Raw genomic sequence first — 26,655 nt, 5'->3', positions numbered from 1 at the left:
AGGAGAGAGAATTTTGTGAATGTTTGCTTAGGAATGTTTGCACCTGTTTACCCTAAGAGCCAGTGTGCTCAAACTTAGATGTCCATTGGAGACACCTGGAAGATTTTAAGATCAATGATATTTGGGTCTTACCCTGGAGAGATTCTGAATTTCTGTGAGTGGACAATCACCCCCAGGTGATTCCAATGTGTAGCCAAGTTTAAGAAACACTGTTCTCGAGCTATGAAATCCATGAGGGCTGCGCTTATTCACTTACTTCAAAGCCTGAGGAAGTGCATTACGAGTATTTACAAGATAGGACTCAGTGTAGCCAGTAAACGGCCCACTAAAAAAAAAAACAAAAAACAAAAAAAAAAAAAACAGGATTCCCTCCTGTGTCAGAACTATCAGATGCTGATGACTAGACTGTGCAGAAATAAGCACATAAATGAGTGTCTATTTTGAGTAATAAGATGAGTAGTATCCATAGAAACAACTGACGAATAATCATCGTAGCTAATTAGATAAGTGATTTCCAAAACCTATTTGAATGATAACTAACGTAATAAACTTCAAACTTCATATTCAGCGACATATTTTTCCCTGCTCCTCTTAATGGTCTGTCAAGAGTTGGCAATCGCGTCAATAGAAGTCATGTTTTTAATCCTCAACGATGTTGATTTACCCTCTCAGAAAGAATTACTGAGTGAAGACTGAAGTAGCATTCAGCCATGAGCATAGGTTTTGGAGTCAAACAGAGCAGGATCTGAGCCCCTTGCTCTGCTGTTTGTTAAGCAGTCAGCCTCGGGAACATGGCTGAACCACCCTGCTCTGTGTTCTCCTCAGTACAAAGGAGGTGATACTATCTATTCCATGGCACTGCTATAAGGATTAAAGACAATTTCCCTCTTAAAATGCTTTGCACAGAGCTATTACTAGAAAAATCACAGTATTGTTAAAATCATTTCCTAAATTTGGGGGCTGTTGGGAGTTAACATGATAACAGAACTAAATTACTCTGGGCCAGGCACGGTGGCTCACGCCTGTAATCCCAGCACTTTGGGAGGCCGAGGCAGGTGGATTACCTGAGGTCAGGAGTTCGAGACCAGCCTGGTCAACATGGAGAAACCCCATCTCTACTAAAAATACAAAATTAGCCTGGTGTGGTGGCGCATGCCTGTAATCCCAGCTACTCGGGAGGCTGAGACAGGAGAATCACTTGAACTTGGGAGGCAGAGGCTACAGTAAGCTGAGATTGCACCACTGCACTCCAGCCTGGGTAATGGAGCAAGACTCCATCTCAAAAAAAAAAAAAAAAAACAACTAAATCACTCTGTAAAAGATGACCATGTATAGAGGTCACACAACTCTTTATTGCCATCTCGCCAGAAAACACAGTAATGCAATAATTGGGTTTAGCCACTCTATTTTTCAACACATCTTGGGTTGTGTTTTGTTGTCATTGTTGTTGTCGTCGTCGTCGTTTTTTTGGCCAATGAACAAGATATTTGGTGGTTATCCCTGGTGCTATTACCCTTCCTGGGCCACACTGATTCCCTTCAACTATGCCTCAGAGTAAGGATGTCTGGATTATTGTTAATATTTCTTCATTTCTCTCTCTTCTGTTTCTGCCTCAGTGCAGCTCCCAAATCCATATCTCCCAAATAAGTTTTGAAGCTTAATAGAAACAGAGGACACTGTCATCCATCTTGTTTGCACAGCTAACCAAATATGCCTGTGTGATGTGCTCAGACCCCTCTGTTCCTCTGCCTGCTCCCCGGAGTCAGCGTTCTAGAGCTTGGAAAAGTCCAAAGTTCACTGCTGTGGCTCCCTCGTTTTATATGAGGATGCATCATAGCAACGACCTCAGCAGAAATGTTCTAATTGACAACGTGCTGTTGCACGCTCGAGGTACCTCTCGGGAGTTCTGTGAGGCAGATATCATTATAGATGAGGAAACAGAAGCCCAGAAAACATGGGACCTTCCTGCAGTCACACAGCTGGCAGAGCTGGGATGAGAACCAAGGCCTGCTAATCCCTAGCTGAGTGTTCTGTTCATGAGGCAAGCTTGCTGCTTTCCAGTTTTTCTCAGACTCTCTGTCTTTAGCGCCACAATCCTGAAAGTGTCATCCATTTATGGCACGGGGTGAAGCAATGTTAACTTTTCCCTGTGACACTTTATATCGGATAAATGTTTTACGGCCAAATGCACGACTGACAGCATTCAGCCATCCAGCTAGGTCTCACACTGCTAAGCAAAATAAAGTGGTCCTAGGAGGTCCCCAAAGCTGCTCCACAACACTGACGCTGCAAATTATATTACACAGGCATTCTGTGAGATGCCCATGGAAGAGCCAGCCCCATTGCTCTGATCTCTCAAAGCCTGATGTGCTTGACCTTTGAGCTGGGGAGCCCCGTGCAGCAGTGCCTGTGCCTGGGAGCAGCACATGTGGGACACTGGGCTTAGAATGGAAAACAGGAGGAAAAGATGACGCTCTTAGGAGCAACCATTTGCCTTGGGATAGATACATCAAAAAGAAGCAATTACAGCCAGTTAGAGTCTACCAAGGGCAGAAAGATATGACCATTAGTGAAGAGAAACTGTTTAATTTCCTGTTACCTCTACCACCATAAGAGGGATGCTACAGAAAAATAGAAACATATGAACTCTCTACAGATATCATTGGCATACTAGTAAGAGCATCCAGCAATAATAAGCCCCCAAAATATCAGTTGTTCATGGAAACTATAAAATCATGAGAGAATCTCTGGATTGGCAAGAGTAGAGTATCATTAGATTATTGATGTTATTGTTATCCTTAAAGACTGTGTAAGTCAGTTCCTTCTCTAATGCAGGAATTGCCATAACAATATTCCCACCAAGAGATAACATAGTCAAAGAGACCCCATAATGTAGTTTCCCAAAGTGCAGTACATATCGCCTGGTATTGCAAGTATTTTAGAAAATACAGGGATCAAACCTTTTACATTTTTTCTAGCTTTTTTTACTGTACATATTAGAAAAAACACAACGAGTACATTAAACTCATGATTTCACATCAATTATTGTTTAGGATTAGGGTAATTTTTTTAACTGGAAAAAAATAAATTGACTTAAAAATATGTAATATTATTATATTAAATAATATATATAATAATATTGTAATATATTAATAATATTATAATATTAAATATTATGTAGCATTTAGATGGTGCATGGCTTTGGTGAAGGTAGTGAACACTAAAATGACTAAACTGGGGGAAACATTCGTGTTCTGGTTACAGACATTATGGGCTTTGGAAGTAGAGTGACTTGACTTTGAATCCTGGATCTGCTCTCCCATAATTTGGTGAGATTTAAGTCAGTTTCCCATCTATAAAATGAGGACAATGACACCAACCTCAAAGGATATTAGCAAAGATTCAATTAAATGAGATACCGTAGGTGAACGGCCCAGCATATGTGCTGAGTGACTATCATTATTATTATAACTGCCTAGATAGACTCCATGGATGAAATAAACCGAGTCCTATCAAGAAAAGAGAGTTTATGTAATTTAGAGAAGCACCACAATTAGACACTAAACTAGGGCAGTCAATCCTGCCTATCGTTGGCTTGTTATCCTGCCTCATCTCCAGGACTATCACAAACTTCCCTAGGGTTTACAGCCTGCTCACAGCTACCCTAGAGTTGGTCAGCTGGTGGACGCCATGGCTGTCACACAGAGATGATAAAGCCCTCCAGATGTAGGTGCTGATGCTCTGTAAAGTTGTCTTCCTGAACAGCACGTTTGTATTCCAAGCACACAGCTGACAGCTCTGCCCCATTGCTAAGCCAGAATGGGGGCAGCCTGCAACCTGACCACAATGGGAAACTTGAGATGTCTCAGTCATAGCTTCCTTGCCTTGCCTTGCCCTTCAAATACTGCAATCCTGTGGGGATTTCTTCAACGATCTTGTGCTGGCCGAGGACTGCGATGAATTGAAGCAGCCATTGCCTCCCCAAGAGAAAGCTTCTAAACGTCAAGCTCAGGATTGTCATCCAGCCACAAGGCTCAGCTGCAAGGCTGATGTCTCAGAGACGCAACAAAGGGCATTCAATGTCACCGGGCAGATTCAGGGGTCATACTTATTATCATTCTTTTTTCTCATGAACATCACATGTACTCAATAAAGAAAATGTAAAAGGTACAAAAAACGATTTAAAAAAATAAACTTTTCCAAATGCCAAAGCCCAACAAAAACTTACATTTTGATGTTTCCTTCCAGACTTTTCCTATTAAATGTTTTTTTACAGTTGCAATTGCACTATTTATACATTTAACATCATGTTAGGATTGCCTCATATCATTAGGTTTTCAAAATGTTTTTCGTAATGATGAGATCATTGTGTCTTATAATATATTAATACTATAATGTGCTTGACCAATCCCCTATTAATAAATGTTTAAATTTTCATGTTTATATTATGATAAATAATTCCGAAATAAATATCTTCGTGTATATATCTTTTTAACATGTCAAATTATTTCTAAGTGTGGAATTACTGGATTAAATCGTATCAATGTTTTGAGTTTCTTGATATATACCATTAAATTGCTTCCCAGTAAGATTATATTACTTTACAGTCCTACAACAATCTTATGAAATTGCCATCTCACCAAATTCTTGCCATAGATTTATCCTTTTAAAATTCTTTGCTAATTTAACAGAGAGAAAATGATGTCTGCATCATTTTTCTCTGCATTTCTCTATTGCTTTCCATTTTTTTACATGCCTTTTGCCATTTGTTTTTCCCTCTTCTGTGAACATTCTGATCATGCCCTTTGCCCCTTTATCTTTTGAGGGCTTTCTTTTTTTTTTTTTTTTGGGGGGGGCTAAGATCTATAATTAAAATCATTCTCACTTCACTTTCTCTCAAATCTATTGTAACTAATTTTTCTCCCACTGAAAGAACAATACATGGTATTGTCTTTTGTGTCGGGGTTAAAAATGGTTCCTTTGTCATTTTATTCCTTTGTGTAATTGGAATATAAAAACTTTTCTTTATGCAATGCAACCTGACACTTAAACTTGTTTAGGAAAATATATAATGGGTTATGCTTATTTTAAATTGCCTTGTGTTTATTACTGTTCGGGAATGTTTTACTTCATGAATTTTAATTTCATAGACTAGACAAATTTTGGTTTAAAGTACAAGATTACGGTTTTTATGGAGATATTAAAATAAGAACAGAAACATGGTCAGTTGATTTACTTTCAAAGATTATATCTCTGCATTAGCTTCCTCCATAAACAATGCCTGAGATGACCCAGAACAAAATACGTTAAACTTACCTTAGGTTTAATGAAACAGAAACTAACCACCACAATGTTTATGAAAGAAACATCTACATACAGGTGACCCAGATAAAACTCTCCTTCTCCAGGGAGGCTTCTTGAATCCCCCAGGCAGAATTCCTCTCTTTCCCCCCAGAATACCCACAACTTACTGTCTGTGCCCCAGTGATGTTAACCATTAAAATCTACCTCATGACCAGGTGCAGTGGCTCATCCCTGTAATCGCAGCACTTTGGGAGGCCGAGATGGGTGGATCGCCTAAGGTCAGGAGTTCGAGACCAGCCTGGCCAACATGGTGAAACTCCATCTCTGCTAAAAATGCAAAAATCAGCCAGGCATGGTGCCGCCCACCTGTAATCCCAGCTACTCTGGAGGCTGAGGCACGAGAATCGCCTGAACCCAGGAGGCGAAGGTCGTAGCGAACCATGATCGCGCCACTGCACTCCAGCCTGGGTGACAGAGCGAGACAATGTCTTAAAAAAAAAAAAAAAAACTACCTTAAACTGGCAATGTGCATAGCTGTCTCCCTCCATCAAGGTGATTCACTTCCTGAGGGCAGGAACAATGTTTTCCTCATCTGTGTATCCATATGTGACACCAATAGGGAGCTTTAGATGTAGTAGATGCTCAGTAAACAGAGGTTGAGGTGAACTTTGAGAATTTGAGAAGGGGCCTATGTGAAACAGTGAAACCACCATAGGCTGTGGAGCCAGGAGTCAGCTTGGAATCTGCCTCTGACACTTGGCAGCCATGAGACTCCAAGCCAGTTAATTTAGCCTCCTGAGCAGCTTTGTCTTCTAATATGGGAATAACAATGCCTATCAAGCAGGCCCTGAGGGTTGGCTACCCTAATACCCATTTCCAATCCATTTCATCCTTGCCTCCCTCAACTATAAAGAGTAGGAAGCTAAATCCCCAATTTCCCAGCTTCTCTTCCGCTGGGAAATTTATGGGCCATAGCTCTTGCCAATGAGACAAAAACAGAAACAGTTGAGGGGTTCTGGGAAGGCTTTGTTCACACACTCTAGGTAAAGTGAAATGTCAGCACAATGCCTAGAGGTACAGCACCCACTTTGCAACCATGAGGTCAAAACACGAAGACAATCATCAAACAGTGAAGGAAGATGGAGTGAAAGCTACAGTCTGGGGCCTGTAGGGGCATCACCGAGAATGAATTCGACAGCTGCCTCCCTCTGGCTTCTTCATATCTGGGAGAAATTACCCATATTTGTTTAAGCCACTGTGAGTGGGATATTTCTATAATTTATCCCAAATACATTGCTAAGTGGCACCTCTACGTTATAGGATTACTGTAAACACTATACGTAAGTAATTTATGTCAAGTGTTTAGCACAGAACCTAATGCATCATAAGCATTTGAAAGGAGGTAGCTTCTAACAGCACAAGACAGAGGGCGGCATTGTTGGTGGACAGCAAGGGGTTCTGGAGCATGGGGCGGGTGAGAATTTCAAACAAGACACTGGAGCTAGCAGCAGGGAATGGAAAAAGAAGGACTTTATAAGCCACATTAAGGACAGGAATATGTCCTGAGGGCAACAGAAGGGAGTGAGTTGAGGAGAGAGAATGAGACTGGATGTGCTTGATGATCTCATTCTCTGAGCTTCTGGAAATGAAATCCCCTTTAGCATCCATCCACACCCTACCCCCACCCCACAGGGCTAGAGACTTTGCAAGAACGCATGAGGTCTCATGTAAACTGTTCCCAACCCAGTCTTCTTTAAAAAATTGTTTTTCATTTCAGGCTTCTCTTAAGAGTCTACTCTGACCTTAATGTATCAGTATGCCACTGTCTAGCGCTCTAGGGCTGGGTGCACACCCCCAAAAACCACCCCCTCTGTGGCTGGGTCCTCAATATTGCTCCCAAGTGCTAAAGACCTGTCTCTACTTCTTCCGGGTATCTGCCTTCGGTGTCCTCATTAATCAACAGCCCAGAGCTTTCATAGACAGTGGCCTCTTGGGACCTTAGCTAACAAAATATGGGGCCAACTTGTCTTCTCCCCCTTCCAGATCTACTTTCTGAGTTTACATATCCCTAGAATAACGTTCCCATACGTGAAACGAAGGATGCTAATTCTCTGGGATATTAGCAAGTACCTCATAACACAAAATCAAATCATGGTCAAATGAGTTGGTAAAATATGAGGTCAAACAGAGTTAAACAGATTTTTTTCCTACATGACTTGTCAGAGCTTCTATAATATTGTTGCATATATGTGAATATATAGAGAGATATATATAGTGCAGCGTTTCCCATACTTGTTTGTCTGCAAGTCTCTCAGTCCAAGAATATCTCAGGGGCTAGTGCTCCATGGGACATATTTGGGGAAATCCTGTCTTAGAAAAGCAGACTTCTGAATTCCCGCCTATAGTGGGACACCCCTCCCCCACCCCTAAATATTCTCTCCACTCTACAGATTTTCCCACATTCCTAGTCACAGACGGGCCCTTATTTTTCTTCTCACACACACCCCCACCACCACCAGCCTCAAACCTAGATTCCAGCCCTACTGGTTTTTTGCCACTTCGTGAATAAGTCATGGTCCTCCCACCCCCAGGCCTTTGCACAAGTGATGCTCCCTACTTGGAAAGTCCTTCCACCTCTACTCCACCAGGGAAGCTCTTGTTCCCATTTCAAGACCTGACTTGAATAGCATACCCACTGTGAAATTCTCCCCAGTTATTCAGGGCCAAGTTAATTACTCCCACCTCTATAGTTCAAGAGAACTTCGCAATTACTCCTGCTGCAGCATTTATTACATTGGTTATACCACAGGCTCATCTTCCTTTCTGAGCAAGCTATTAATCCCCCAAGTAGTGTTTTTCCATTAGTCTGCTCCATGTAATCAGCAGATCATGAGTAAGCATAAGTTTTATGAATGAATGAACAAACAACTACATGGAAGTCCACAGGGACTTGCTTCTCTACATCTTTATCAAGGGTGTTATGGATTAAGGTCAGACTCATTACCACTGCAGATAACAAGGTCCTACTACAAGCCCAAGAAACAGGATCAGATGCCAAACTCCTGCAGCCCTCAATTACTTTGTTGTTTAAAGTGGAAAAAATAAATAAATTTATATTAATGGCTAACAAAGTAGAAGAAAGCAATTCTAGTTTTCATATTAAACTGTAACATCAATAGTCGATCAGTATTTCACTGATAAGGATTACCTTGTCTCTGGTCACTCTCTATAGTCTGTCTTCCAAAAAGGAATGGGTCTCCTGCAAATATCCATGGAAACCAGCCACTGCTAAGTATGCAAGGCATTCAATTCCAGTTAGTTGCAAGACTTGGCCCCCAGCCTCACCCACACCAATTACACCAGGGAAGGGACAAATGCTTCCCCAGCCATGAACACTGTGGTGGTGAATCATGCCATAAGCTCACTGTATCACACCAACCACAACCTCAAGGTTGGACCCCAGCCCCCTAATGCTGCCAAGAAAGGCACTAATGCTTCTGCAATCACAAACACTTGGCTGACAGGATAGGCATGGAGGCAAGATCCTGCCAGATCATTTTGCTATCAAATCCCAGCCCTTAGAGATGGATACAGTGGTTCATGCCTGTAATGCCAGTGTTTTGGGAGGCTGAGGCAGGAAGATTGCTTGAGGCCAGGAGTTCAAGAAGACCAGCCTGGGCAACACAGTAAGACCCAATCTCTACAAAAAAAGAAAAAATTAAATATTAGCTAGGCATGGTGGTATGCACCTATAGTCCCAGCTACTTGGGAAGATGAGGTGGGAGAATTTCTTAAACCCAGGAGGTCAAGGCTGCAGTGAGTTATGATTGTACCGCTGCACTCTAGCCTGGGCAACAGAGTGAGGCCCTCCCTGTCTCAAAAAAGTAAGAAGAAATAAAATAAAATCCCAGCCCCTGATCTTGCTAGAAGATGGGCTGCTGCTCCCAGAATCTAGTTCTCCCCGCAGAGATGGATTCCCAACCCTGCTAGATGGAAGCGTGCTGCCCTGGAATACTATGGGTAATAAGGGGCCAGACACCTGCTACGGCACCTGGCAATGATCTCTCTGGCCATTTGCCCTGACATAGCCAACAAAATGTGCCAACAATTTATTGTGTATTTGGTGAGGAGTAAAATTGGGTTTGTTTGGTTGGTTGTTCCCCTCTCTTCTTTGGTGAGAGAAGTGCCAGGTACACTAAGGAACTGGTAGCCAACAAAAGTGTGAAAGCTGGTGTAGGGGCAATACCACCCAAACAGCTACTGCCACCTTAAGAGCTGGGAACCGCATTCACCATCTCCACTTCACACTCAATTTATTCATGCTAGCATTCACTGTCATTCACAACCACCAGCACAGCACATCACAACAGAGCAGAGCTGGACTAGACTCTCCCCAAGAAACTCAGGAGCTCTCTGAGTGTATAACAGGGAAGGAGTTGCAGAAGGCCAATTGGACTTCTAGACTTTGTACTCCTACTGACAAATAGAGGAGCTGATCTTTTACGCTCTCAATCACTCTGGCAGTTAATTTGCACCTCAGACTATGAAGTTGGACTCTGAATGTCACATATTGAATCCCCAGGCAATATGATATTGTGGAGGGAATGAAGGTAGCAAAATAATAATAATAACAGTTATTTATTCAGCACCTACTATGTTCCAGGTCCTGTACTTAGCATTACTAAATGTTTTTTATTTTATCCCAAAATAGCACTTGGATATTTCTCTTCCATTCTGTGAATGGAGAAATTGAAGCTCAAAGAAGTTAAGTTACTAGCTCAAAGTAAAAACAGCAGTGAGTGACCGGGTGCAGTGGCTCACGTCTGTAATCCCACCACTTTGGGAGGCCAAGGTGGGCAGATCACGAGGTCAGGAGATCAAGACCATCCTGGCCAACTTGGTGAAACCCCGTATCTACTAAAAATACAAAAAAAATTAGCTGGGCATGGTGGCGCACACCTGTAGTCCCAGCTACTTGTGAGGCTGAGGCAGGAGAATTACTTGAACCCTGGTTGTGGAGGTTGCAGTGAGCTGAGATGGCGCCACTGCACTCCAGCCTGGGCGACACAGACAGACTCTGTCGCAAAAATAAATAAATAAATAAATAAATAAATAAATAAATAAATAAATAAATAAAACACAGCAGTGAGTTAAAACGCACACCTCTCTGAATCCAAAATTCTTGAGTCTCCCTAAAATTGTGACTGCTAGTATTAAAATAGTCACACTCAACTTACTAGAATATGAGTTTGGGGGAGTTTTGCCACAAAATTCAAATAACTAAATACCAGGGGCAAAGCCTGAACTTTATCACTTTCCAATTGACTTTTCACATGAGAGATTGTTGTACATCATTTCCATGCATTGGATTTACATGAATCTGTGAACCAAACTGCCTCCTTAAGCGTCTTTTTCAGGATGATAATTTAATCGATGTAATCTTTATCTTTTTCCTTGTTGAAATCCAAATGATAGTGCACATCTAAATATGAACAGCAGACGTTAAGGAAGGGAACCAGGAAGAGCAACAGCAAAGTCAACCAGAGATCTAAAAATGGGAAAAACTGGTCTTCACAAACATGTAAAATATGTAATTAGAAATGCACTAAAACTTCTACTCTGAGATAGAGAAAATATCTCCGCCGATGTTAATTTGGTTGATGACTCATATTGAAATAACATCTGTTTACAACTCAGTGTTCTTGTCCATGCTGTATTCTTTGCATCTTTCTTTAATTCAAGTCATTCTTAACACATCCTTCAACACATAAGGTATCACTTCCCAGGTTTCTAGGGTGGACTACTTCCATGTTTCTGTCACCACCATGACTGATGAGGTTTCTCGCCCTTCCTCTAACTGTGAGTTCCTTGAGGGCAGGGTCTTTGCTGTATCTTTCTTTCCCAGCATGCAACTAATACATAATGAAAAGCTGGATTACCCACATTGAATTTTTTTCATCTTTATAAATTAGTACTCAGACAAATGAAATTTAAAATTGGAACTCAAGATCATGAATGGTTCATATTAATGTTTTAATCTACAGAAGGCTGTGCAGTTGCAGGTAGCGATACCCAGCTACAAAACACCAGAAGGGCCTAACTCAAAACTGTGGAAATTACAGCCACTTACATGGAACCAACTACATCTTAAATTCCTGCCCAACAGAAAGTTGATTCTGTTACCTTTCTGTATGTCATGAAACAAAAATTTTTAAGTCCCAGAAATTTCTCAAATTATGTCAGTGGCTTAGTGTCATTCAGCACATGTGGAGCACACTCCCTCCTTAGTTATAAATGGTCCTAAATAATTCCAACCTCACCATTTTCTAAATGGTCTTCCTCTTTCCAGATTCTCCTGAAATGTGTTTTTAAGATCTGGGGCTTTCTCCTAGAGCTGTGTGACCTTAAGTAACCATTTAGCATCACTGACTCTCAGCTCTCTCTGTTTGAACATCTATAAACTCTGCTTTCATGTGAGAACACACAGAACTCAAGCGCATGCCAAGACAGAGGTTGGCAGGACTTGTGCTGGGCTGATCCAGGCAGTAGCAATCCGGGTTTGGAGATTCCAAATATGAGTCCTGTAGACCAGAGAATATTTCATTCTTGAATAACAAGTTAAGTCCTTACGGGGTGGTTGAAAATCTTATACATCAAATGTGAGCCAATCGTACAAGATCCAATTTCCTATGAAGAAAAATTGGTAGAGTGGTAAATATAAGGAAGATCAGATCCTATTCTAAATCTTACTTGAGTTGTGGAGAGCACTAACAACTGTGGGTAAACGTAGAAAGCAGAAGGGAGACCACGCACAAGGAAATTACTCCCAGAACCTTGGGGAGCAAGGAAATGTGCCAGGATCCTTTCCGAAGTCTTGTTTTGCTGAGTCAATATTAGCTACATCTGAGAATGTCCTAGAAGAGTTTTTTTCCCATTAGTTCCATTTATTTCCCCAACGTTACAGAAGAATGTCAAAACACAGGCAATTATTCCAAGGTCTGAAAGTCTCAAGTAACAGATCTTACTGCCACATCCATTCTCCTGAAACATGAATTTCATAATGCCATTCCCTTTTCCAGGACTTACGGTGTCTCCCTCCTACTCTCACATCAATCAATCAATCAGTTCATACTACTCAGCATCCTGTTCAGTGCATAGCCCTCTGCTACACACAGGAAAAACCAAGTCATTCATGTTTTTTACTCATTTAAAAAATGTTTATTGAGCACCTACTAAGTGACAGAAGCCATGCTGGGCACTGGAGGGAGAATAGATGGACAAGGCATGGCCCCTGCCCTAGAGAAACTCAAACTTTCCTGGGGTTGGCAAATGGGTAAACAACAATTACAACACACTGTGATAAGCTGACACTAAAAATATGTTCACAGAATCCTGCAAAGCCCTAGAGAAGGCATAGCAGAGAAGAAAACACATCAGCTGGGCTCTGAGGGATGAGCAGGCATTCACCAGAGGACAAAGCAGGAAAAGGGTACCTGAGAGGGAGGGAATAGTGATGTGCTGTGTTGACCTAAGTCAAACACGGGAAATAATGAGAGAATCGGGCTATTATTACACATCATTCGGTGATTAATTATGTGATAGGTGTTACATATAAGTTTTAGGATAGTAGAAATCAAGAAGTCAGAACCTGGGATAATAAGAGAAAACCTCAGTCTTTTTCCAAGTTATTTCACTGCTCTCCCCAGGTAGAATGGTGAGGGGCAAAACACACAGATCTGAGAGCGAGATCTGAGTCAGAATCATAGCGCCACTCAAAAGTAGGTCAAGTAGGTTGTAACGAAATTAATAATGCAGGAATTTGCACAGCCTCCCCCAACTCACTCATTGAAACAGCTTCTTCCTAGTCTTCTTTCCCCTTAAATCCAAGGAAAGTCTATCTCTTTGAGACCAGTGACTTCGGGCTTTGGAATGCAGAGTCATGATGGGGCCGGGAGATGAAAATAGAGGCCCACGAGCTAGGGCTGGGGCTGATGAGATGCTTGGAGCTCAAGCCAGTACAGGGCAAGAAAAGTGGGGGAGATCACAAAAAGTTGAGGATTCCTCTTTGAGGCATTCTGGAAACCCAAAGAAAAATTCAATTATTCTCAAACTCTTTTTTGGCTATAGATGAATGTGGTTTTGTTGTAGTTTACTTTGTTCTGTTTTGATTTTTAACCAAAACACTATCTGTGACTGTTATGATTGTACCACTGCACTCTAGCCTGGGCAACAGAGTGAGGCCCTCCCTGTCTCAAAAAAGTAAGAAGAAATAAAATAAAATCCCAGCCCCTGATCTTGCTAGAAGATGGGCTGCTGCTCCCAGAATCTAGTTCTCCCCACAGAGATGGATTCCCAACCCTGCTAGATGGAAGCGTGCTGCCCTGGAATACCATGGGTAATAAGGGGCCAGACACCTGCTACGGCACCTGGCAATGATCTCTCTGGCCATTTGCCCTGACATAGCCAACAAAATGTGCCAACAATTTATTGTGTATTTGGTGAGGAGGAAAATTGGGTTTGTTTTCACTGCAGCCTTGACCTCCTGGGTTTAAGAAATTCTCCCACCTCATCCTCCCAAGTAGCTGGGACTGTAGGTGCATACCACCATGCCTAGCTAATAGTGACTTTATAAGCACGCATCCCATTAGCAGAGTAATGACGGACGTTAATTCATCCTCTCCACTTTGCTTATCTGAAAAATGGGAACCTACGTATCAGAGAGGTTTCATGGAGATGAAAAGAAATAATTAATGTAGACTCCTAGTAATCAAGGAGGATACTTTCTTTTCCACTGCTACTCATGCCCTTTCATTCATTTATGTATTCAATGCATAATTTTAATCACCTGCTACTGGTACACCCTCTGCTAAATTCCTTTTTTGCCTATAGAAATCTTGCCCATCTTAAGCATTCATGTTTTTTTTCTGTCCAGCACCCTTTTCCCTCTTCTTAAGGAAATACCCCCGTCCTGGGATTGCCACAAGCTGGCCTATCATGGTTTTCCTCCTTGGCCCAATACCTGTTCCATGTGGTGGGTCCATCACCCCAGACAGGCCAACCAGAGTGATGTCTTAGGCTTTTTCAAACTGGAGCTGAGAGAATGACTTTTTTCCCTCTGGACTTAAGGCTTTAAAGATGTAAGCATAAGCAGCTAAGAGCCTTAATTCCAGCCACCAGCTTAGAAAATTCCGAGAGAATGAAGAAAACAGAAGACAAAAAAAAAAAGGAAGAAAGCTCCTGCTTCAGTCATGCCCTGCTCCAACCCCGGCCTCTCTAGGGCCTGATTATATGAGTCAATAAATGTAACCCTATTTGCTAAGTTAATTTGAGGTGGTTTTCTCTAGGTGCTAATCAAAGAGTTCCAGCTAACACAGTATCTTCCCAGACCTCATTGAATTCCCCATCTCCTTATTCTATAGGTCAGCCAGACATCCTTGGAGCATGATTGCCGACGCTATACAGCTTGCCTCTGACAATGTACGCTTACCATTGCTGCATAACTCTTCTTCCCAAACATCATGCTTCTTCATGCCACAGGCCTCATTACTAATCATGTAGTAGAAACTCAATAAGTGTGTTGAGATAAAACAAACACCAACTTAAATTATAAAAGCTAGAAAGAGTCTTAGAGAATCGGTTTAAAATTCTCTGCAAACTCAGAAACATGTAGCGATTTTGTTTTCTTTCTCTAACAACATTCCCTGGGAGGAAAGCAGAAAGATAGCCACATAAATGTGTACTGCAATTCTTCTGAGTTATCACAAAACAGCACAATATCAAAACAGTTCACGGATAAAAGTGTATGTGTATAAATGCACCCAGCCATATCTTATTATAAGGGAGTATCACACTCAGGATTCCTGACTCTGAATGTGATTAATTATCTCCAGAGACAAAAAAGCGTAACACATAATTTAAATTTTATGTGAATTTAGCAATAGACATTAAATCTTTAAGAAGCACGCATACCTTGTAACCCAGCAATTCTGTTTCTGGCAATTTGCCCTAAGACAAGAATTTGGAAATGTTTAGAGATTTAGCCATATTAGTTTTTATTCAAACATTGTGAAAAATTGCAAGAGACTGAAAAATACCAAGTAATCCATTCATAGGGAATTAGAGAAATTAATGACCTATTCATACAATGGGATTCTATTTGAAAAAAAAATCACATTAGAGAATAATACTTGCACTATTTTTAAGTGAAAAAAATTAGGTTGCAAAATGACGTATATATAGAGTGGTCCAATGGTCCAATTTTAAGTGAAAAGAATTAGGTTGCAAAATGACGTATATATAGAATGGTATGTGTATACTTAAATGTACATAGGTATACACACGAGTGAACTGGAAGAACAGACATCATAATGTTAATAGTGTGTATCTCTGGGTTGTAGCATTATACATGAGTTTCACTTTCTCTTTTTTGCTTATTTTTATTTTGGGAGTTCTCCACCATAAACATATATTTATGTAATTCGAAAGAAACAAGAACGAATATTTTGTAAACATACAGGAAAGTGTTCTAAGAAAACATCTAATCCAAATTCCTCATGTTGCAGAGGAGGAAACTGAGGCCCAGGCAGTGCTATAGCTTGCCCGAGGTCCCACAGTTAGCAAATGACAAAATTAGCACCCTACGCCCAGGGCAGGGTTCTTTCCACCAGACCATTCAATCCCCACCATGGGTATTGTGTTTTAAAAGTCCAGCTAGCTGGGCACGGTGTCTCACGCCTGTAATCCCAGCACTTTGGGAGGCTGAGGAAGGTGGATCACCTGAGGTCAAGAGTTTGAGACCAGCCTGGCCAACATGGTGAAACCCCATCTCTACTAAAAATACAAAAAATTAGCTGGACATGGTGGAGGGCACCTGTAATCCCAAATAGCTGGGCTGAGGCAGGAGAATTGCTTGAACCTGGGAGTCGGAGGTTGCAGTGAGCTGAGATTGCATCATTGCACTCCAGCCTGGGCAACAAGAGCAAACCTCCGTCTCGAAAAAAAAAGTCCAGCTAACTTCATTTAACTCTGCATTTGGAAAGGATCATTTTAAAACAGCACATTCATATACGAGAATGATAGCAAACAGAAAAACACCCTTGAATTTCATCTCATGCTTGGGTTTCGGTGCTTTACAAAAATAGTGTTGGCATTACCTCCTGGCATTGTATTATAGGATGGGATTTATTATGAAACTGGGACCAAATTTTTCAGTTTGGAACAATTAATAAGCATAACATAGGTTTAGAATTAGTGAAGTCATATTTTTGCAGCTGCTGTAGAATTCTTCCACAGCTTAATTTGCTACCTTTGTGATTTTAACAAATGAAAAGATGTATGTTCATTTATAATAATTGGCTATATGCTTCCACTAGATTACAAAAATTTGATGATTTTCAGGAATCATAACAAACCATGACCTATAAATTCAATTTCCAATGGTAAAAATCCCCTGACCAGAGTGGATGCTGATGACGAACTAATAATGTGTTCTGTAACAATCTGTTTTGAGCACTCAATTGACCTGTAAGTGTTCCAGATACTGCCTGATGAAAATGGGTTTTATTATTTTCCATTAGCAGCTGCTACAGCAAAGTGAACGGCCAGTCCACAAGGGAAATAAAAGTGTTTCCCTCTTCTCAGTCGCCTCTGCTGCAAACGTAAACAAAACTACCTTCTTCCTTCCCCTCCTCCCACCTCTGAAATCTCTACATTCAAGGACCACGACTGGCGAATCCTGCCTGAGTATGTGGCATCTAATTAAAACACAATGGGGCATCTACTATGTGTTCAGCATTTTGCTGAAGTGGTGCAAGGGTGAACGGAGACCTCGCACAGGGAAGCAAATCACTGGAAAAAGTGGTTCCTGCATTCAAAAATGTCATTAGACTTGCCAATTGGTTCTTTTCATTAAAATAACAATAATAGTTTCTTTTACCGTTGTAGTGGTCTGCTTTATTCTTCTTGTTTCTTGCATTTATAAAAAGTTATTCAGTGCTGTTTTTTCTTCTACACAAGTCTTCTTTCCACTTTTGGCATTTGCATCCTGTAAAATTATGCTCTTTTTGGCAAATATATACATGCATAAGGGAGGGGGGCGTCCACAACCATTTAAAGAAATTATTTCTCCAAGGATTTTTTCCATTTCCTCCCAGAGAGACAGAGAAAAATCTCACCAAGGTGTCATACAAAAACAAACAAAAAAACCCTCCATATACTCCTCCTCTTCTGGTATTTTTCTTCCTGCCTGCTAAATGAAGGCTTGACCCAATGTTCCTTTCCCTGCCCTCTCCTCTCTCACTGCTGTCTACTGTCTCCCTGGATGATCTCATCTAATTCCACAGCTTCAACACTCACATAGTACATGTGATTCCTAAATCCCTCTCTCATCACAATCTCTTTTCCCAGCTCCTAGTCTGCATTCTCAGCTGTCTGCCAATCCTCTCCACCCAGACGAATCCAGGATACCCCAAGCCGAGAAGTCCAAAGCCAAAATCTGTGTGTTCACCTGTGTTTCCCTGTTTCTGTTCAAGGTACCATTATCTTCCCAGTCTAGATCAGACAGGCAGACATCTTTACCTCTCTCTTCTCTCATGCCCTTTACTCAAACCCATCAATTCTCTCTGCTCTTCATTGATATCTTTCCCTTTCTTTCCATCTTCTCTCCCACTGTCCTAGTTAAAGCCTATTATACTCATTTGGACTTTTACCACAACCTCCTAACTTTCCTACTTTAAGTCTTTGTCTACTCTAATTCATTTTATACATTACTGACAGATTAGCACAAATGCTAAAGTGTAGTTCTGACCATGCCTTCCCACCACTCGCAAGCTGTCCACATCCACTGCTTACTTACAAAAGAAAGTACAAACTTAGAGAAGGCCTTCCATGGTTTGGTTGCTACTGACTTTGTTAGCCTTACTGCCCACTATGCATTGGAACATTCCCATATTCCAACTAAGCAGGAGTGTTCACAATAAACAACATAGGCTCTTTATTCTCCTTCTTTCACTAATTTTCTTTCACGTTATTCCCTCACCCTGAACGCCCTTCTTCCTTCGTAGTGACATTTTAAAATCCACTTTACACATTCGGACCAGCTCAGATATCATTTGATGCCTGTGACAGCTTCTCTGTTACTTGTACACTTTTTGAACTTTCATACTGTACCAGTGAATTAATTCTGACTTCAAGTGATACTACTCACTTCACATAAAGTAGAAGGACCTGACACTGGTACATCTACCTCCATTTCTTCCTTCCCAACCTTTGTCCTATTTTGTCATGCATTTGACCAAATACACATTATAAATCCCACAATACATGATTATTAATTTCGCTGTAACCATTTCGATCATCTGTTAAAGACACCAAAATAAGAAAAAAACAAGTCTTTACATTTACTCACAGTCTTAGTTTTGCGTGGCTATAACAGAATACCTGAGATTGAGTAGTTTATAAATAAAAGAGGTTTATTTAGCTCATAGTTCTATAGGCTGAGGAGTTGAAGGGCATGGCCCTGGCTTCTGGCAAGGTCTTTTATGCTGCATAATAACATGGCAGAGAAGGTCAAAAGAGATGCCAACATGTGGAAAGAGACAAAACCAGAGGGGTGTCCTGGCTTTATAACAACACACTCTCATGGGAAACTAATCCATTTCCATGAGAACTAATCCAGTCAGTCTTGTCAGAACCAGAGCTCACTTACAACCATGAGAATGGAACCAAGCCACTCCCAAGGAATCCACCCCCATAACCCAAACACTTCCCACTGGGCGCCACTTCCCAGCACCACCACATGGGGATCAAATTTCAACATGAGTTTCATTGGGGACAAACAAACTATATCCAAACCATAGCACCCACATATTTCAATTTCTAATGCATTTAATCTGCACTAATTTTACACCACCACTGAGGCAAATCCCTCCAAATACTCTATCAAAAGCCCCATGAATTATGATGTTTTCTAGTCTGGCCAGCAGGAACAGGAATAATATCAGCCCTGTGAGAACTTTGAAGATGATTTCTTCTGCTTCTTTCAGCTAGTTCTTTCTCCTGCCTGAAGATATTTTTCTCACAAGCATGCACTGATTGGTATTCAGCTGAAGACTCAAGGAGGACCCTTGGCAGGTCTCCAGAGTCCTCTCTCTGTACAACTCTCTCCTTTACAGCAACCTACCTGCAAATTCTAGCTGCTCTTGGAAGTAAATGCTCTGTGCTGCCAAATGAAAATAGCACTCGGGCAAAAGTTTTCTCAGCAAGGCAATTTGCTTCTATAGAAAGGTACGTCTCATGGATGGAGCAATGGCAAGAGCACACCAGACAAGGGAGGGGAAGGAAGGCCTTATTCCTAATGCAGCTAGTCCCTACTGCTGTGTCTTTCCCCTATTGGCTAGTATTGGACCACGCAGTCTAAGCTAATTCTGACTGGCTATTTTAAAGAGAGTGAGGGTACAAGCCAGAGTGGCAGGGTGAGTAGTTTTGGTGGGAGGGATGGTTACAGAGCAGGTGACTAAGGATGACTGAGGACAGAGCAGGTGACTAAGGATGACTGAGGACAGAGCAGGTGATAGAGGCTAAAAGGGAGTTGTTTACTGAAACTAGGGGCAAGGAGATGTAAAGAATGAGGAAGTCAAACTTTAAAATGGAAAATGAAGTACAGGGAAGCTGAACATACTGCCACATTGGTTCTTTGGAGAGGGACTCAGAACTCATTGTACTTAACAATTTTCTCCCTCTCGAATTTTAAGGGAAGTTAACAGGCTAAACTTTGAAGAGGAATTTACTGTATCCTACATTGCCTTGGCCTCCTCAACTCAAGATAATTGCCAGGCTCTCCCTAGGTTCCCTCTCCCTCTCATGGCCCGGAAACTCTCTCCAGGGAGTAAGTTGGGATAATCACAAAACTCAGTCATCTCATTTGTTGCCCGTCTCTCAGGGAACACTGAAGTCTAAAGTCTTGAAAACTGTTTTGTCTTGTTTTATTTTGTTTTCATATATTGGATCCATCTTTTCAGTTGTTTCAAGCAAGAGGGTAAATTCAATTCATGTTGTTCCCTCTTGGCTAGCAGGTGAAGTTTTGTAAAATCACAAATTTAAGGATCCCTTTCAACCCCCCTTACTTGGAAGAAGTTTCTGAACCAGTTGGACCCAATTGACAATTTCAAAGAAGATCCAGGTGCCAGAAACAAGTAGCATACCTCATAGGTAGTGCCAAAACAAGGCCTAATCCTATCTGGGGATTCCACGGTTAAGTTCTCAGTGGCAATTTTTCTCCAAAAAAAATAGTACATAGCTAAAAGTAAAGAACTTTTGGAGACATATCCAGAACAGAGCTTTGAGCACCCAAATCTATGAGATTCCTTTGTATGATCTGAGAACTTGAAGACTCATTTCCTTCACTACAATGAACATTTACATACTAATTAGTTTTTTCAAATCACTCTTTCAAACATGTATATAAGAGGCTATCATACCTGTGATACATCTATTTTCCAATAAACTGGAATCCAGGAAAAAAAATGATATTCTATATATAGGGCCTATACAATGAAAGAAAATCTTCCTTCATTCCTTTACTAATTCTTTTACTTTCTTCTTTTTATCTTTACACTTTAGTTTCCTTTCTTGTCCAAAATTTCTAATTCCCTAACTTTTTCCCCAAGCATGCCTGGGGTTGTTATAGCCAGACAGTAGCATTCACAAATACACCCTCTCAGATTCTATCCCTGTCTCTCCGCACTTATCCTGTACTAAGCCAGCTTTGTAGACATCAAAAGATATATTCTTCAGTGAATGAATCAAGGAAAGAAAGAACTGAATTTTTTATTTCTGCTTAAATGAAAGAGGTAAATTCACCTGAACTGGGAGGAGGCTTATCTGTAGGAATCTTCTAATCTTTTCTAAACATAGAAACAGAACAAAGAGAAAATGTAGGCCAGTTTTACATTAGAATGGAGGATTGGTGGAAAAATTGGGGCTGAGAAACAGACATCAGAAATATTTCCATTTTGAGTTTTACAAAAATAGACTGAAATTATATCTGATAAATGATGGTGGATCCACAATTGATCACTTACTTAAGTTGGTGTCTGCCACATTATGGCCCCCGTACTCTGGTTCACAGATATGAATTAGAGAAATTCTCATTTAGTATTAAATAACACTGGATTACATAGTGAGATAGTTATTCCCTTTTAATTCTCTTCCTATTCTCTGATTACATCAAGATGAGAGAATTGGTTGTTGGTAGTATATCTTAACTTCTCCAACACTTGCTGATCTTTTTTATGCAGAGAAAAAGAAGTCTAGAACATTAGGCAGAAAAAAATTCAGCTAGAATGTTAAGTTTTTTTAATATTATTTGAATTTATTTAATGATTTTTTTTTTTTTTTTTTGAGACAGAGTCTCACTCTGTCACCCAGGCTTGAGTGCAGTGTTGTGATCTTGGCTCACTGCAACCTCTGCCTCCTGGGTTCAAGCGATTCTCCTGCCTCAGCCTCCAGCCTCCTGGGTTCAAGTGATTCTCCTGCCTCAGCCTCCTGAGTGGCTGGGATTACAGGCACACGCCACCACACCTGGCTAATTTTTGTTTTTTTTTTTTAGTCCAGATGGTGCTTCACCACATTGGTCAGGCTGGTCTCAAACTCCTGACCTCAATTGATCCGCCCACCTCAGCCTCCCAAAGTACTGGGATTATAGGTGTGAGCCACCACACCTGGCCTATTTTATGATTATTTTATATTTATGGCAAGAAATATTCCTTTTTCAACCCTTTATATTTGATGATATGAAGACTTTTTATTCATATTTATAAAATGTGTTAATTTAAAGATAATTAAATTTAAAGATAATTATCTCAATTTCCTGAAATGCCAATATACTGTGTAATTTCAATCAATTAATGACATAGGTGGGTTTCCCTGGAGGCAGGCACTGAGACAGAGCTGAGGGTCAGGAAGTTCATTAAGAATCAACACCCATGAAGGGAAGAAAGAGGAAGGAAGATGGCTGCAGTGCAAGCCGGACAAAATATCCGGTAGAATTTAGGGAGCACTGGAACAAGTATTACCCATCAAACTCAAAACTCTATTCCATCAAACTGTCCCACAGTGGGCCCCGTGGCCAGGCCTTTTCACCCATGGCTCATCTGGTCCACAGATGCTGGCTCCCTTAGGAAGGGCGATACCTCAGTCACAGCAACTCTCCTGCTGGGACAGAGCCTGAAGATGCTGACAGCTGGCAGTGGGGCTGCCTCCGCTCCCCGCAGCTGAACTCAAAGTCCTTCCTTGAAAGGCTATCTGGGCAGCATGTGTACATGTCCCCCACAGTTGATCAACCAAATGTCTTTTTTCAAATCATTCTTTGAATCTCAGTTTCCTCATCTGTAAGTGGGGTTGATCTGGATTTGTAGATCTCAATCGGTATTTCAAAAAAGATACACTTTGTCCTCCAGAAACACTGGATTATGGCTTCTCTTTCTACATATAATTTTTAACCTTTTAAAACTGTAACTGCCAGCTGCAGTGGCTCATGCCTGTAATCCCAGCACTTTGGGAGGCCAAGGCGGGCAAATCACGAGGTCAAGAGATCAAGAACATCCTGGCCAATATGGTGAAACCCCGTCTCTACTAAAAATACAAAAATTAGCCAGGCGTGGTGGTGCACGCCAATAGTCCCAGCTACTCTGGAGGCTGAGGCAGGAGAATTGCTTGAACCCAGGAGGCGGAGGTTGCAGTAAGCCAAGATCGTGCCACTGCACTCCAGCCTGGGTGACAGAGTGAGACTCCATCTCAAAAAAAAAAAAAACAAACTATAACATATCGGCCAGGCAATCCCAGCACTTTGGGAGACCAAGGCGGGTGTATCACTTGAGCCCAGGAGTTCAAGACCAGCCTAGCCAACATGGTGAAAACTCATCTCTACTAAAAATACAAAAATTAGCCAGGCGTGGTGACGCACACCTGTATGTCAGCTACTCAGGAGGCTGAGGCAGGAGAATCACTTGAACCCAGGAGGCTGGAGGCTGAGACAGGATAATCGCTTGAACCCAGGAGGCAGAGGTTGCAGTGAGCCAAGATCACACTACTACACTCCAGCCTGGGCAACAGAGCAAGACTCTGTCTCAAAATAAATAAATAAATACACGCTGTGCACATGTACCCTAGAACTTAAAGTATCATAATAATAAAAGAAAGAAGGAAAGAAAGAAAGAGAGAGAGAAAGAGAAAGAGAGAGAGAGAGGAAGAGAGGAAGGAAGGAAGGAAGGAAGGAAGGAAGGAAGGAAGGAAGGAAGGAAGGGAGAGAGAAAATTTTGGTTAAATAGGAAAAATAAATTCAAGAAATCTATTGCGCACAAAAAAAGAAAATAAATAAATAAATAAAACTATAACATATCAGTTATACATCAAATGTACTACATACCAAATTCTAAGACATTGGAGACAAGCAACACATTACTCTAGCACCTCATTAATCAACTGATAAAATAAGTGGGTGCTGTACAAATAACATGCAATTTTTAACCAGTTTGACAGGTTTCAAACCCAATTGAAAACTCCTGAAAACCATTCTCTCTCATCTACTGCTTTCATGCTGTGAATCTCGGAAAAAAGAACCATGATAGAGACTTTGAGTGCACAAAGCCACAGGCTCCCGCCATCTTAACGAGAAGACAAGGTATAAATGTTAAGAAAGATTAATAGCAGGAAAACAGAGCCAATGGAGGCGTGCTAATTATAACTCCCTTATGGCTTCAGAAAAGGGATGAAGGGTTTTACAGATGAGGAGCTTGAAACTGGAAAAAGCTGAGTAACCTGCCCAAAGTTAACATATGCTAAGTGTTAAAATTCAGATTCTATACCAGTTCTCTTGCTTGCCGGCACCCATACACTATACTACCCCCAGACTCCAACATGTCCACTGTCGGTTGCACAATGCCAGATGGTTTCAACTTTTAGACTCTCCAGATATTTATAAGTGATAGTTGTGTGGACTACACAGTTCAAGTGGCACAGTATTGATGCTCTGAGGAATTTTAAATTTTTTGTCTGAGTTTTTGGGGGTGATGGTGGTGATGTTCTTTTGTTGTTCTTAATGTCTGGGTTTAGGTGTGGGCCTCTGATTGTGGAGGAATCATATTTCTGCATAAAGTATATTCATTCAAAGGAACTCCTTTCTCTATCCAATTGCTTAATAATATGTCTTGAATAATAGCATTACCTCAGGACTGAAAATGACATCACCCCAGGCTTACCAGGCTCTTCTGAGTCAGGAATGAAGGTCTGAGAACTAGGAGTGAGGAGAACATGTTTCCACTAGAAAGCCACTGCAGTGGCTCTGCATTCAAACTAACTTGATCAGTGCCACACTTCTGTTTGCTACTACTGCGCTGAGAATTTCAAGGCAAAATCACAGTATGTTTATAGAGAGAAAAAAGAGGAAGGAAGGAAGGAAGGAAGGAAGGAAGGAAGGAAGGGAGGGAGGGAGGGAGGGAGGGGAAAGAAAGGGAGGGAGGAAAGGAAGGAGGGAGTGAAGGAGGGAGAGGAAAGGAAAGAAAGAAAAGGAAAGTGAGAGAAAAGATAAAGTCCTATTCAAGATTTCAGAGTGAAAGGGAAAATCCCTAGGATCACAGCCAGTTGTCATGGGAGAAATTTTTCTTCCTGATCTATTTTTGGCAGTCAGTTCAACTTCATGCATCATTGTTTTACTTATGGCATGTACAGTAGCCAGAGAGAAACCCATAATATCTTTTCTGTCTGGTGGAAATCTTATATTCCTATGCACAGTGACAAATGGCTTGATTACAACATTTTTTTTTCCTCCGGGCATCACAGTGTTTTAAATATCTCTAAATCTGTGGAACACATTTAAAAAGAATAGGGCTCTTACAACATACCAAACACAGTAACCATGGTACAAATTAGCGCAGAGCATCAAACAGTTGGGGAAGAATCATTTTTACAGAGGCTGTCAATGAATACAAAGCCGGGGAGTATGAGGAATGTGAACAAACAAAAGATATCCAGGCTGGAGAAGCATCCATTTTGAGGAATTCTTTTCCTCGAAGAAAGAATAAGAAGAATAATGTTCAAATATTTAAGTAACAGCAGAAAATTAGATTTAATCATGGGAAAAATAATTACAAATGGCTTAAGGCAGCTTAAGATTTTCACCACTTTATCCTTTATTTTCATCTTAACCTCCGGGAAAAGGCCATGTTTTGTGGCGGTAGCGTTTCAATCACACCCATTCACTGCTTCAGTTGTTTTTATCCTTTAGTGGAGATTTTTCAAAAACATGAACTCTTCACAGGAAAATATCTATCTGCGACATTAGAAACTGACTCACGTTTCCTAGTTTTCATGAAACAATGACATTTTTTTCCCTTTGATGCTCTCATCTAACTCCACAGGAAATTTTACTACCGAGCCGCTTTCATCTCTCCTGGTTTGAAGATAAATGATCCTTGGTCTCCTTTAGACCTGCATAAATCACAAAGCAATCTACTAAGAGATGCCTGTGGCAAGCAGCTTCAACTAGAATCAAAAGGACAGTCAGAAATATCCATACTGCTTACACAAGGAGTAACCGAGGCAGAGTAATCCAAACACTGCATCCCCTTTTCTTATACATACAAAGCCTGGCACACCGGGGCTGTTGAGAAACATGAATTAGCCCATCTCTGACATAAAGCCTCGGCAAAATAAGCGTCTGCTACACGTAACTCAAAGTTCTCTGCCCTTCCTCAGAAGAACGTGGCTTACTGGAAGCCAAATTCTTACAAGGAGTACATCAAAGAAGAAATCTATTTCCTTGGGTTTTTAAAATTATTATTTTGTTTCTCATTACACAGACAGCATTAACGGAACACCAAGGAAGAGAAAAAAGAGTTACCACCCATAATCCTGCCATCCGATGAATATTTCTTGTTTTGTTTTGTTTTGTTTTTGTTTTGTTTTGTTTTTTGAGATGGAGTTTTGCTCTGTCACCCAGGCTGGAATGCAATGGTGTGATCTTGGCTCACTGCAACCTCCGCCTCCCAGGTTCAAGCAATTCTCCTGCCTCAGCCTCCCGAGAAGCTGGGATTACAGGCACGCACCACCATTCCTGGCTAATTTTTGTATTTTTGGTAGAGATGGGGTTTCACCGTGTTGGCCAGGCTGGTCTCAAACTCCTGACCTCGGGTGATCCATCTGCCTCGGCCTCCCAAAGTGCTGGCATTACAGGCGTGAGCCACCATGCCTGACCCCAGTGAACATTTCTATTTGCCTGTAAGCATCCGTTGTTTTTCCAAAAATAAAATTGCACCAGGTGATTGTATCAATATGTATTTAACTTGCATCCTGTTG

General features: G+C 41.1%; 1 long non-coding RNA gene across 1 annotated transcript in view, besides 2 other annotated features; it reads right to left on the bottom strand.

Moving 5' to 3' along the window:
- The window catches only part of LINC00578 (long intergenic non-protein coding RNA 578), a 310,784-nt gene that overhangs the window by 275,469 nt on the left and 8,660 nt on the right, over positions 1-26,655 (bottom strand). The window lies entirely within an intron of this gene.
- Positions 19,138-20,337: an enhancer, noted in NCBI's record as "MED14-independent group 3 enhancer chr3:177174687-177175886 (GRCh37/hg19 assembly coordinates)". NCBI's record gives its function as "activates an origin of replication core promoter dependent on BRD2, BRD4, P300/CBP and CDK7 cofactors, and independent of MED14, by STARR-seq in HCT116 cells {active_cell/tissue: HCT116}" and the evidence as "EXISTENCE:reporter gene assay evidence [ECO:0000049][PMID:35650434]".
- Positions 24,569-24,769: a silencer, noted in NCBI's record as "peak4934 fragment used in MPRA reporter construct". NCBI's record gives its function as "represses an SCP1 promoter by STARR-seq MPRAs in K562 erythroleukemia cells {active_cell/tissue: K562}" and the evidence as "EXISTENCE:reporter gene assay evidence [ECO:0000049][PMID:32103011]".

Source organism: Homo sapiens, chromosome 3 (assembly GCF_000001405.40).
Source record: "Homo sapiens chromosome 3, GRCh38.p14 Primary Assembly".
Lineage (NCBI taxonomy): Eukaryota > Metazoa > Chordata > Mammalia > Primates > Hominidae > Homo > Homo sapiens.
This window is presented reverse-complemented; position numbering and strand designations above follow the sequence as displayed.